At 51.0% G+C, this 13,565-nt stretch overlaps 1 annotated feature.

Moving 5' to 3' along the window:
- Positions 4,426–4,925: an enhancer, noted in NCBI's record as "H3K4me1 hESC enhancer chr21:43154537-43155036 (GRCh37/hg19 assembly coordinates)". NCBI's record gives its function as "activates a minimal SCP1, AML or CMV promoter by ChIP-STARR-seq in primed H9 embryonic stem cells {active_cell/tissue: H9 hESC(primed)}" and the evidence as "EXISTENCE:reporter gene assay evidence [ECO:0000049][PMID:30033119]".

The following is a 13,565-nucleotide window of genomic DNA, read 5'->3' as shown; positions in this document are numbered from 1 at the left end:
AGTGACGGAAGCTTGCAGATGGCCTTCTGGAAGGGCCCCTGTGTCCTCAATTAACCCAGGCCGCGGGACCCCGAGAAAGCAGAGGGTGGAGCCGGGCGTCGTCCTCTGCCTGGGTCCCTCCGCACACGGGTGATCAGGTGGGGGAGAGAAGTGTGTCTTGATGGAAGCTCCCAACACTGAAGTTTTTATTGAAATGTTATAGTTCTTACGTTCTGTATTTTGAAATAATTTCAGATTACAGAAAAGTGACAGGAGTAGTACATAGAACTCTGGTAACCCTTCAGCTAGATTCCCTGTTTGCTTATATTTGATTGTATTTGCCTTTCTCATCCACCTACCTACCTGTTCGAGAGTAGGTTGCAGACAGTGTGCCCTGTTACTCCTAAATACTTGCCTGTACATTTCCTAAAAACAAGAGTTTCTCCTGCATCACCCACAATTTACCCATCACATTCAGGAAATTAACATTGGTAGGATATTACCATCAAATCTGCAAATTCTCTTCAAATTTTGCTGATTGTCTCAAAACTGTCCTTTATAGAAGAAGAAAGTTGAAAAACACGCAAGCAGCACCTCTTTTTTTTTTCACTCTCTGGCCTGGGACCCCATGGTGTTCAATAGCCATGTGGCTTCCGTTTTTATCAATCGTCAGTTCCTCAGTCTTCTCTTTTCTGACTTTGAATTAACTTATGACATGGAGCTCCTTCATGGGTTCATTCAGACCTTTTGGGAAGTATGGCCAGTTATTTGGTGGAATGTCCTCAGTTTAGGTTTATCTAATTTTCCTCAAGATATGGTTTAGGTTACGCATTTTTGGCAGAAATACCACAGACATGATACTGTGTACCAAGGAGGGCTTTTTCCCCTCCCACTTTTGTTTATTTACATCAATATGCAGTCTTGGATCCCTGTTTAATTGATGGGATATTCTGATTATTTTGATGGTCAGGTTAGCCCTGATTTGGCCGGTTTGGGCACCTCTACGCAGGCTCCTGTGCCCCCTCACCTCCCATCTTTCTCTGAGTGATTCCTTGCTTTCTGACACAGTTCCAGGCCCACCTTGTACTTATTTCCCCAGCCTTGGAAGAAGCCATTTCTCCAAGGAAACCGTTTCTCTGAGTGGAGAATGGTTCTTAGACGCCAAGATGTGGGTGCTGGAGGTGCTCATTGTTACTGGGCTGTCATTGCTTCTAGGCCCTCAGCAGACAGACGTAGGAAGCTGCATGCAACCTATGTGAATATCACATACACGTTTCTGTGTCTTACTAGAAACTATGATTTCACATCCATGCCTTCGGTTACAGCCCAGCATCCCAGGGGTCACTCTTGCTGGTCTGTATTTGTATCTCCTTTCTCTGGCTGTGGGAGCCATTCCCATCATCCTCAACACACACACGAGGTCAATCTTGGTGTGTGATGATCTCCCTGACAACACTGGTGGCCTTCTTGGCTGCGCCGTGCCTAGTGACCCTGTCAGTGGGTCTCCCTGGCCCTGCAGAATGGTGACTCACCCTTAAAGATTTTTATGCTAGGTAGCAATGCCTAGGAACTGTTTCTTACTAAGACTATCATTTAGCTTAACTTTTTTTTTTTCATTTAGGAACCTACATTATTTCCTTGCCTGTCTTGAAATAGTGATAATTTAACAAGCCTCCCATTTTTCTTCTTAATTTCTCAGAAAATTCAGGCATTTTCCTTCCCCTCTGATCTCTATTCTGTGTTTTTTCGTTCAGGAGCATCTTCTGGTTTGAGGATTGAATGCATTTTTATATCCTCCACTTTAGGAAAAGTCTGCCCCTTTGTTCCTGGGAGGAAACAAAAGTGGGTCTTATGCTTCACATGCTCTGCAGTTGTTCTGGGGCCAAGGGTCTTTTAGTACACCCCTGGCTATTCCCTCCAGAACCCCAGCCCTGAGCAATGTCAGAGAGATGATTCCAGCCTGCCTTCATCAGCTGTGAGATGTGGAGATGGTAGGTTCTAGAAGAAAAGTGGTTCTCCCCGGCTGGAGCAAACCAAGGTGCAAGACAGGTCCGCATGCCCTGACATCCAGGCCCCCAGACCATCTAGCTCACTGCAGCCCTCCCAGTGGCCAGGGGATGAGGTCAGGACCGGGGGGTATGGGGCCAAACATCCCCTCATTACTGACCAGGATATCCAGTTCAGGGACCAGCCAAAGAGGAGTAGTGGAGCACTCCGCCCGGGTTTCCCGCTCTGCCCCGCTTCATTCACACCTCCATGACACTGGCTCAGAAAACTGTCCTTGGGATACTTTCTTCCCGTGCTCCTCCATCCTCAGCTCCAGCCAAGTCAGAAACAGCCTGCTGGGCTCAGATGCACCAAGATTTCATTGTCAGCACTCAACCTAGACCCACACCTGAAGCCACACTCTCAGAGAGCAGATGGGGAACACCTGACCCATGATTGGCATGTCTTCTGGATCTGTGGTTTCAGTACACTGTCCTACAAATCTTAGGACATTTTGGGCCTCACTTCAGGGTTCTTCTGAAGTCCCTCTTGAGTGGAGGGCAGTGGCCAGTCAACCTCTTGGTGCTTCACCAGGACGCCTGACAGCAGAGGGACCTGTGTACCTGAGGGCTTCCTTGGCAAACAACTGGTTTACCCAGAGTGCTCCACTCCCAGGCTATTGAACCAGGAGTTGCCATCTTCTCCCAGGCCCTTGAACCTGACTGACCCCAGTACTCAGGGGACTTTGTTTACCAGGATCATCCACAGTGCCAAGGTTAGCTGGTCTGTTCATTTCAAAAGAGTGGGTGTAGTGTGTGAAGGCCTCCTACTGGCACTGCAGAGGGAGGGGCAGGCACTGGCACAAGGTGACATTTGGAGGACGGAATCCCTGCCCCAAAGCTGACATTTTGGATGCCAGGTTGACATCTTAGACTATCAACCCTGAACAAATTTTCCTCCCTCCCTCATTTTGTCCTTCTTTCTTCCCTTTCTTCTCCCAATCCCTGCTTCTCCCTTCTTTCATAACTAATTGTTGCATGAGGTCAGGAGTTCAGAACTCCACTGCACAAGGCAACGGGGCCCTGTTCTCAGGTGCCTGGGCTCTGGCCTTCTCTGCACCTGTCCACGGACTTTGATGTTCAGGAGGGCAGCGGCACCAATGTTTACTGCAGAGTAAGGAGGCACCAGGTGGCCAGTCTGTTCCAGGAATGGTGCTAGTCACTGCTTTAGGCCCTGCAGACAAATATTAATAATAATAATAATAATAATAATAATAATAAGAAGAAGAAGAAGAAGAAGAAGAAGAAGAAGAAGTACTGCTTCATGAAATCCAGTGTCAGAAATGGCTGGATCCAGATGTTTAGTGTCTCCTTTCCCCTGTGTCACCTTTAGTAATGGGCAAGTCCTTTGCAAAATATATCCCTGTCTTCTTGTCTCCAAGGTTAAATGGCCTGAGGATCTCAGTGCAAAGAGAACTTCTTTCTCCCAATAGTTCCCCTTTCCCAAGCCCCAGATTAAAAATCATTCGTAGTTCCTTAGATGCTATTTTTTCTGCATTCTAACAGCTATGAGGGAGTCAATGGCCTCTTACAATTGTCATTGGCAGCATTTTTTCCTATTTTGGAGGTGATCAGGACAATGGTACATTTAGGATTAGAATTCATGGCGTCTCAGAGTGGATGCAGTGTGGTGGCCCCACAGCAGGTTGCGCCCATCCTCAAAACCAAGCATGTCAGCCCGGGGAGGGAGTGTTCCCACAGCCCGGGCTGGGCCAGGCTGGCAGACGCCACCCTGAATGTGGAGGTGATGGTTTCCCAAGGGAGAATCAGGAATGCTGTTTCTGGAAAAGGTGGCCCAGAGGCCAGCTGTCACAGTCACAGAAGTCCCCACCCAGGATCCCTCACAGGGGCCCTATGGAGGGCTCAGGTACCACTGGAGAATGACCTGGAGTTGTGTGTAGAACACGTGCATTTGCTCGGAAAAATGGAGGACTCCCTCATCCAGGGTGTCTTCCCTCTGAATCATGGGATGTTCTGGAAGATTCTGGAAGGTCTGCCCAGCAGTGGTAACTGTGCACAGCAGCTTTGAAGTCATAGTGGGTGGGTCAGAGTGAGAATCTGGGACCACCTACTGGATCCGTCAGAGGTGAGGGAAGAGCCCCTGGCCACAATCCTCGGTGTAGTTCCCAAATTGCATCCAGAGTGAGGAAGAAAGTCATCTCCACATACCGAACTCCAAGAGAGTCCGGGTGACACAGGGTGGGACCTAAGAGAGTGCACACTTACTAGAAAAGGTCATGGCCCTGAATGAGGGTGAGCCCTGGGATGAACAACCCCCTTGCTCAGGTGGCTGCCTCAGCTGGCTTCAGGAGTCAAAAAACCTTCCGGAGCCTCCCAGGCAACTGCAGTGGCCACGATGACGGTGCTCAACAAAGGGTCTGTTTCCTTGCCTAAAGAAATGTGCTAGGATCTACATGTAAAATGTTAGCACACAAAGGAAGGAAGCTTAAATTAAAAAAAAAAATGCATTGGATGCTAGATTAAAAAGAAAATGCAAGAGAAGGTGAGGAAGCCGGTGGAGCAGGATGAATTCTCGACTTCTCATTTCTCTGCACAACACGATGTAAACTCGACAGTATCAATGTACAGCTGTGTGGAGCTCTTCAGAAAGGTGCTCCCCAAAGCGTGAGCAGGGCTGGCCCCAGAGAGTGGGACTTGAGGGTCGGGGAGGACCTCCCTTTACGTTGTCATGTTTGGGCGGACCTCACCCCTTGGAATGGAGCCTGGAGGTTTCAGCAACCTCAGCCCCTCTGAGGCAACCCAGAGGAAGCTGGCCTCCCTGAGGTGTCTTCCTTCCTCCTTACATCACTTCCTGGTCCCAGTGGTGCTACTGGAAAAACTAGACTCAGGGAGGTGGCACCCGGCAGCTCTGCAGGTGGGGCCGGTGGGGAGGCTGCCCTTGCTCCAGGAGAAAGGACAGGGTGGCCTCCTCCTGGGCTGTGGAACTCAGGCAGAGCCTCTCCTTTTCCTTTCCATCTTTCCTGGTGGCTGTGGGGAAGAACTTGCTCTTCGAGGGTGACCTTGGCTGGTGCGGGGAAGGACACTGGGTGATGTGGGACCCCATCTTTGCCTTCAAGGAATGACTCTTTATAAGTGGGATGATGCTGGAGACCAGGGGAGGGCATGGCCGCGTGCTGGCACACAGCCAAACCCATCACCTTTGTGGGCTCAGTGAAGCCAGACCAGACCTCCTGAGGAGGGGTCTGCTGAGGAGCCAGCCCAGCTGGTCTCTTCACGGTGAACGGGAAGGGGTGCATGGAGGAGGAGGAAGGGAGGGAAGGTGCGGAGGGATGTGTCCCCAAAGAAGAGCTGGAAAGTGCCCTCTCACGATAATGGTGGACGGAGATGTGCTGGCGTTTCCCTTCATTTGCCGATCAGCCAAGGTGTGCGACCTGACAAGCCCACCTGGTGCCCTAATGAGGCTGTGGCTGGATGTTGTCACTTATAGGCCAGCCACTGGCCTGGTGGAGACCACATCGGGAGGTGGTGAGTCTGTCTGTGGGCCGTGTGGCTCTGAAAACCATTTGTTCCTAGACCACAATGAGCTAAACAAGCATTTAGAAAATGTATACTCATTAGACAGAATAATGTTACGTCCATTCAATCTACCAACAATAATGTCAATCTTTAGGGGTGGAGGCACCAGACTCTGAAGGACAGAGAGAAGAGTGGGACAGAAGAGGACTACCTGAGCGCCCTCACCAGGAGCAGGTAGACACCCAGATGGCCTCCCACTCTCCACTCCATCAGCAGACAGGACAAGTTTGAACCAGATGTGCCTGAACCCCACAACTCCAGGCATATCCAGAGTGGGGCTGGGGGAAGCAACTCAGCAGGAGGAAATCGGGTAGACTCTATGTACTTAAGACGTGACCTGCACCCCACCTCCACCCCTCCAGGCTCTCTCCCTTCTCTCAGCACCTCCAAGCAGGAAAAGATCTGCAGACCTGACATTTAGAAGTTCCCTCCATCATGCTGCAGTGACAGTCACCCAGTGATAAGCTCTCCCACACACACAGAGCTTCCAAATATCTGTTGCTAACTGACATCTGAAAAACGAACAGAGATCCCACTAGAACAAAGAAAGCCCTAACGTGAAAGACAAAGACACGACCATCCTAACCAATCCAACAAGCAGATTAAAAAAGCAGAGAAAACAAAGTATGGATCAGAAGAAGACTTTTTCAAAATCTATAATGTCTCAGAACATACATTTTAATGAACACCGGCTCAGGAGTGTGTGTGTGTGTGTGTGTGTGTGTGTAAATATTTAGAGAACAGAAATGAAATTTTTTTAATGTGATGAGAAAAATAAAACTCTCAAAAGTGGAAAATAAGTCTAAGAAAGCAAAGCAAAGAATTTATCAGAGAAAGAAGAACAAATAGACAAAGAAGTGGAACATAGGAGAGGAAAGGAAAGAAAATTAGAGAATTATTCCAGGAGGCCCATCATCCCAATAATAGGAGTTTCAAAAAAAGAAAAAGAAGAAAATGTTTCCAAACTAAAGTACAGGAATCTCACATAAAGAGGGCTCAGCAAGTGCTTAGAGTGATGGCTAGGAGAATAGCCATTGCAAGCCCAGCATGGAAGGATGCCAGGTTGGGGATGGGGTGGTGATGCCAGGACAGGGATGGGGAGGTGACTCTAGGATGGAGCTGGAGAGGTGATCCTAAATGCTTTCAGGTGGAGTGCAAGAAGATGCTAAATCAGATATCAGATGCGTCAGACTTCTAGACAACAGAAAGGGAAGCTTGAAGGCAAGAGAACAATGCTGTCAACATTTTAAGGAAAGTGATTTTCAATTTAGAACTTTCAATTTTGTCCTTCAAATCTCAACTTCCTGTTCATATTTCCATTTTTCTATCTGTTGTGCTATATTCTGCATAAGTTACCTTTAAATGGGAACTGCTCATTCTAGTTGCTGAGTTGAGCTAACTTTGTTATAATGAGGTTATATCTATTCTATAGTTAAGATATCCACTGAGATTTTTATTTCACTCACTATACTTTCCATTTCCCAATGTTCTACTCCATTCTTTCTGAATCTGCCTTGTTTTCTTGGTAGCATCTTGTGCTCATTTCCTTGTTTTATATCTGTAATCATTGTAAACATACCTGTTAAAAGCCATCATCTGATAATCCTATTACCTAGGGTTCTTAGGGATCCAATTCCTCTGATTGTTGGGTCTGCTGGTGGATTGTTTCCTTGTGTGATTTATAATTTTGGATTGTGAGTTCATTTTCAGTAGGACTCTATCTGTGAGAATCTTTTGTGCTTGAGCTGAAGCTGTCTTTACTGAGAGATTTTGTGTTTGCAAGACTCTCAGTTGTCTTGCCAGCCTGTGATCATTTTTGTGCTAATTCTGTGGCTCTGTGGGTCCTGGACTATGCAGGGAGTATAAATTCAAATCCAAAACCTGAACAAGACAGACCCATCATTACAAGCTCTTAAGAGGCATTCCCTTCTCCTCTCCTCTCTTTCTCTTCTCTTCTCTTTTTTTTTTTCTCCTGGCATGGACTGAGATAGATATGCTTTCAGGTCATCTTCCTCTGCTGGTGGGTAAATATTTCCTCTCAGGGTGGCCCTTCAAGGATTTTGCTTATAATATCCTGCCTCACTTGGGCCCCTGAGCTTATCTTCTGTCTCTGGAGTGTTCAACTCCAGGTCCCTGGGTGCCAATATTAATGCAATCCCCAAGTCAATCTAAGCCCAGCCGATGTTCACTATTCAGGCTTTATTTCCCTCTTCTTTTGGCCCCTGGAGATTTTGTCTCCTTTCTTCTTGTATGTTTAGCTAGTTATTTAAAAGGAGTCTCACATTTTATCCAACACTTCTAGCTGTACGGTAGGAATGTTTTCATGTTTAGTCCATGCAACTGGCAGCAAAGAATGCCTCCTCCAAGCTAGAACTCAACATCCAGCCAAATGAGCAGGCCTGGGTTGGGTGGAATCACATTGAATCATAATGATGTACAAACAGTGGATTTTGATTTCATTGTAAATGATGACATAACTCTATAGGGTGGCTGTGGGTGTGGCTGGGGCTGTTATGAAAGCCCTAAATCTTCATCTTCCCTAGTTGGGAATAAATACATAAAATCTTAAACAAAAATTCAAACAAACATCAGTGTAAGCATGTGATGGGGAGAATACTGGAAGAAAGTGCTGCAAGACTGGAGTGTGACTGCCTGCGGTGTGAGACCTGGATTTAGGGGATGAGCAGGTGGGAGAGCAGGGCTTCATGCGTTGTGTTTTCTTGCCCGGAGTTTTTCACTTTTTGCACTGTGTGCATTTACTGATTTGGTGAGACACAGACAATAAAAACGGAAGCTTGAAGGCAAGAGAACAATGCTGTCAACATTCTAAGGAAAGTGATTTTCAATCTAGAACTCCTTTTAATTTTGTCCGTCAAATCTCAACTTCCTGTTCATGTATCCATCTTCTATCTCTTTGTGGTATATTCAGCATTAGTTACCTTTAAACGGGAACTGTCCCTTCTAGTTGCTGAGTTGAGTTAATTTGTTATAATGAGGTTATGTCTATTCTGTAGTTAAGATATCCACTGAGATATTAACAGGACAGAGGCGAAAATGCTGCCTAAACTTGTTTTTGCCGGCAGGAGAGTCCAAAAGGGCTCAGAACATGAGTGAGCCAGGGGCTGGGGGAGGTGTGGGGAAGTGGTGGGCGTGCCTTCTCTCCGAGGGATCCTAGAATGACAGGCATCAAGGGCATCTGCTTTTACTTTCTACGAGGGCCGCTTTGGGTTTCAGCATTAGTTCCTACAACAAGCATTTTTTCTATACCCCCTACATGCCAGCTGCTGGACTAGGTGTTGAGAATTTCACAGCTTTCATGGAGGAGAAAAGGTGATGTCCCAGGTGCACAAGTGACCTCCTAGTTGATGTGAAACCAAGGGGATACCATAAAACCCGCTCCATTGATTTAGAGCTGATCCACTGACGTACAATCATCCACACCAGATTTCTCTTTCCATGCACACAAACCCTCAAAGGCTCATGGTGGCTGCTTGGGGAGGTGGCATTACCAGGGAATTTTCCTTCTCTTTCCTTTAGCCCGGAGTGGGAATAATCGATGTTTACCAGGTGCTGAGTAACTGGGTGGGGCTTCTCTAACGAGCCTGTTCCTCTTGCTCGCCTCCATGCACCCAGACTCTGGATTCGCCGCTGAAGGAAGCAGAGGCCCCTTTGCCTCCTGCCTCTGACCCCTCAGATGGCTTCAACCTTGACCCCTCTCTGAAGCCCTAACCAGGTTTCCTCTAGCTGCCCCCATGTGTGGGCAAGCCTGGCTGCCTCCTGTGACCTTAGTGGGTGGTGGGAGGCGATGGGGCCCCGCCTTCAACAGCACTGCCTGCGGCCTGGCCCGGTGGGTGTTGCCTAACCTGCTAAGGCGAGTGGGTCACACCCTCCGTTTCCTTCCACGGGGACCTTCATCCTCGTGGCAGTGGAGGATGTGGTCAGAAGACCTGGTCCAAGGCCTGCCCCTGCCATTCCTGACCCTCTGTGCCCTTGGTCAAGTCATGCCTGGAAACGGAGGGAGGTTGAGGTAGACATTCTACAGATCTAATGTTTTATAAACGATGAAAAACTGTTGATGGTACAAAGAATTGGGACTCCAATGACTACATGTACACCTGTGTATTTGCATAGCAGCACTATCCACAGGACCGAAAGAGGAAATAGCCCCCATGCCCATCCACAGATCAATGGACTCACAAAATGTGGTCTCCCCCTACAATGGGATATTATTCAGCCATAAAAAGGAATGAAGTTCTGATACGGGCTACCATGTGGATACACCCTTCAAACACGGTGCTGAGTGAAAGATGGCAGGTGGAGAGGCCACATATGGTACCACCCATTTTATATCAGAACAAGTGAATCCACAGAGACAGACTGGTGGCTGTAAGGGCTGGGGAGACACTGTTTCATGGGGCCAGGGTTTTACTCGGGTGAGAAGGGGTGTTTTGGAGCTAGAGGGTGAGGCTGGTTGTATGACACTGTGAGTGCACTAAGTGCCAGGGATTGCTCACTTTAGAGTGCTCAGTTTTATGCTATGTGAATTCTCCCTGAATAAATTAAACAGCAATATGGCTGCGAAACAGAGGCAAGTCCTGTACAGCCAGGACATGAGCTAAAGCCAGCAAATGGGTGTGTGTTCACGTGACTCTTCCAGTCCCATTGGTGGGTTGCTACGAGGCCAGGCGTGCTCATGACAGTTTTGTATTTTTTTGGCTTTCTTTTTTTGTTTTGTAATTTGCCCTATTGCTTTTTAGCTGTGCTAACATCCTGAAACTTACCTATGTGGTATGAAGTCAGGCTAAAGCGTTCATTCATTCATTCATTCATTCATGTCTGCAGTCGTTTGATAGACGTGTACTGCACAGGACCACACGCCAAGGGAGTTGGCCACCAACAGGACAGTCAAGGCCCCAGGGAGCCCAGCATTTCCCAGAGGCACCAGCTCAGCACAGCGCTGCTCACTTCCTGTCCTCAGGTTTACAAGGGTCAGGACCACCAAGTCCACTGCCTTCTTCCCTCTACCCGCCTTCTGTGTGATGGCGGCTCACCAAGGGAGCCGCATGAGGAGGTGCCCAGGCTGGAGGGCCCGCCCTCACACACCTGACTGTCCTGCAGGAAGAATCAGCAGGAAGCCCCATCTGCCGAGGAGAAGGAGGGCAAGCTGGGGAGTGCCCAGGGCAGGTGCTGCTCGTCGGAAATGGGGGGGGGTATGTGGGTATGCAGGGAGCAGCCCCAGGGTCACCCTCAAAGTGATTTCTGGACCCCTTTTGGAGCCAGCTGGGCAGTAGCTTAGAGCTTTCTCCCTGGGGCCCCAGTACGGGAAGGAGGTGCTGATGAGAGCGTCTGGCCGGGTCTGGCTGGGAGACAGGCGCCGGGTGGGAACACTTAGCCAAGTCTCCCTGGTCAGAATTCCCTGCGTGGCCCAAACCTCAGCTCCCAGGAAACGTGTTTGTGGGAAGGGGTGGCTCAGGGGGGGCGCCCTGAAGACCACACCTTCCTGGGAGCGCTTCTAAGACGGCAGATCAGAAAGACTCCTAAAGGGGCCGGGGAGGTCCCGGGCACAGAAGCACTCTGTGGGGCGAGGCCCTGTGGGTTTTCCTGGAGGGCACTGTGGAGGCGGCGGTAATGAGCAGCTCCAGCCGCCGGGGTGGAGCAGCAGGGCCGGCTCAGGAAGGAGGGGCCACAGTGGACTCTGTGGGGTCTGCCGGGTGATGTTTTGGCCATAGTCTGACCCCTCCTGAAGGTCCCCTCCACCCTCACTGTGCCTGGGGAGCTGTGAGCCCCCACGGAGCCTGCCCGTGCTCTTCCTGTCTGCGCTGGGCTGAGGGCTGTGCACGCCATCCCAGCTCCTACTGGCCTCCACTACTGGGGGACAGGCAACATCGTTTCCACTCTGCATGGAGTGAACTCAGGGGGACCAAGTGTGCCTGGCTTCCCAGGGGTGCAGGGTGACCTGGAAGTCCCACGTGTGTTCTGGGCCACACTTCGGGAGGGAAGGGGTTAACCAGACAGCCAGGCAGCCTCTGAGGTTGCCAAGCCACCAGGAACCGCTTCTACTTATCTGGGCACATTTTTCCTTCATTTCTCACAGCCAGCGCAGCCTGTTGCGACCTGCCACCGGAAATCATCACTGCGACCTACTTGAACAGGCCTCCCTGGGGTGGTGGCGGCCTCCCCAATGGGCGACCTCCCTGCGGGCCTCCCCTCCCCTTACAGCTCAGGGCCAGGGGTTGTGCTGTCCCACCACCCACTGGGAGGGTTAGGACATGACAGCCAGGGGACAACTGGTCTAGTCTGTGTTTGTTAAAACGGAGGCCACGGTCATCTCTTCCTAGGACATGGACTAGCTCAGGCCCCAGGAAAGGCCGAGAGTCCAGCCTTGTATGCATCCCCGCCAGGGGAGACAGCAGCAGTGGGAGCCAGGCCTGAATAGCCCGTGGGTACCAAGTGAGGGGCCTGGGGCTCCACTTCTCCCAGTGCAGGGACAGCAGGCTGGTGGCCAGAGGTGCAAGCCTCAGTGTCAATGAGATCTGGGCCTGAGTCCCGGTCTGCCCCTCGGGGATCAGGGGTGAGTCATGCCTCCGCAGTGCTCAGCACACAGGACTCTCCGTCAATCCACGCCAGCGCCCATTTCCCCAGACCTGCCGGTCCTCTCCTGCCTCTCCTGGAGGTGCCAGGCCCCCGCCTGCCCTGCCCCCTTGCTGGGAACCCTGGAATCTCCCATGGCTCCTCCCCTGGCCCACTTAGCCCAGCCTCGCCACCTTCTAACCTCTTCTACTCCTGCACTTTGTCCTTGCTGCCGGCCTCATCCTGCCATCGGCCTCTGCTCCAGAGCATTTCTTGGGACCCACAACACCGTCCTGAAGTGTCACATCCTCCAGCTGACCTTCAGGTTCCACGACGCCCCGGCAGGGGAGGGTGCACCCTGGCTGCCATGGTCCACCTCTGCTCTTACAAGTCCCTCTTACCCTTCACCAGCCCTGCAGGCCACCTGCTCTCTCCTCCAATAATTGTCCCCAGCCCTGCCATCCAGGCGGAAGCAGTCCCCATTTCTTCAGGTCTGGCAGCATTTTGCCGGGACTTCTCTATGGCACGAATTTCATTCTGCTTTGTGTTGTGGTGTCGAGGAAGGAGAAAGAAGAAGAAGGGGGGGGGAGGAGGAGAGGGAGGAAGAAGAAGAAGGGGAAGAAGAAAGAGGAGGAGGAGGAGGAAGAGGAGGAGGAAGGAGGAGCAGGAAGGAGGAAGAAGAAGAACAAGAGGAGGAGGAGGAGAAAGAAGGAGAGAGGGAGGAGGAAGGAAGGGAAGGGATGAGGAAAGCCAGAGGGAGGACACGTAGAGAACCCGGACTCCCTGCGGGCCCCGCGCCCCCGCGCCGAGCATTTCACAGACCTGACTTTGTTTGGTCCCTACAGCCTCCGCAGCGGCCTGCCTGGCTCTGAGAACAGGGCTCTAAGGCACTCGCCCGTCAGCTCCTGGGAAAGGGAGTCTGTTAGGGTTGCCTCTGCTGAGGGGAGGGCCTCGACCAGGCTGGAGGCAGAGCTTTCCCTGCGGAGGCCAGGCTGGCCTTGCTGCTCCGCACCGCTTCGTGCCGGGGAGGCAGGAGAGGCCCTGGACGTGGCCAGTTTTATGTGGGTTCTTAGGGAACTGACAAAGGCAACTTTAAGCTTTGGGTCCCTTCTAAAGGACACCAGCGTGCCTCATGAGCAAGGCGCTTGGTTAGAAAACAGACCCAGACTGGCTGTGAATCAATTCCGGGGTGCTGGACGCGCGCAGAAGGGAAGTGCTCCAAAGAGACCGACCCGCTGCTCTGGGCACAGCCCCGCACGCCTCCCGACCACAGGCTCCGGCCGCCCTGAGGAGTCGGACTGGGTCAGACCAGCGCAGGCTGACCTCACCCCCCACCCCAGAGCTTGTAGCCTCTCGTCCCTCTTGGGGCTTCCACTCTGTCCCCTGCAGAGTGGGCAGTGGGCACCGTTGCCGGGAGGGACCTCAAGGAGTCGG

Source organism: Homo sapiens, chromosome 21 (genome assembly GCF_000001405.40).
Source record: "Homo sapiens chromosome 21, GRCh38.p14 Primary Assembly".
Taxonomy (NCBI): Eukaryota; Metazoa; Chordata; class Mammalia; order Primates; family Hominidae; genus Homo; species Homo sapiens.
The sequence above is the reverse complement of the archived record's forward strand: the minus strand, read 5'-3'. Positions and strand labels throughout refer to the sequence as shown.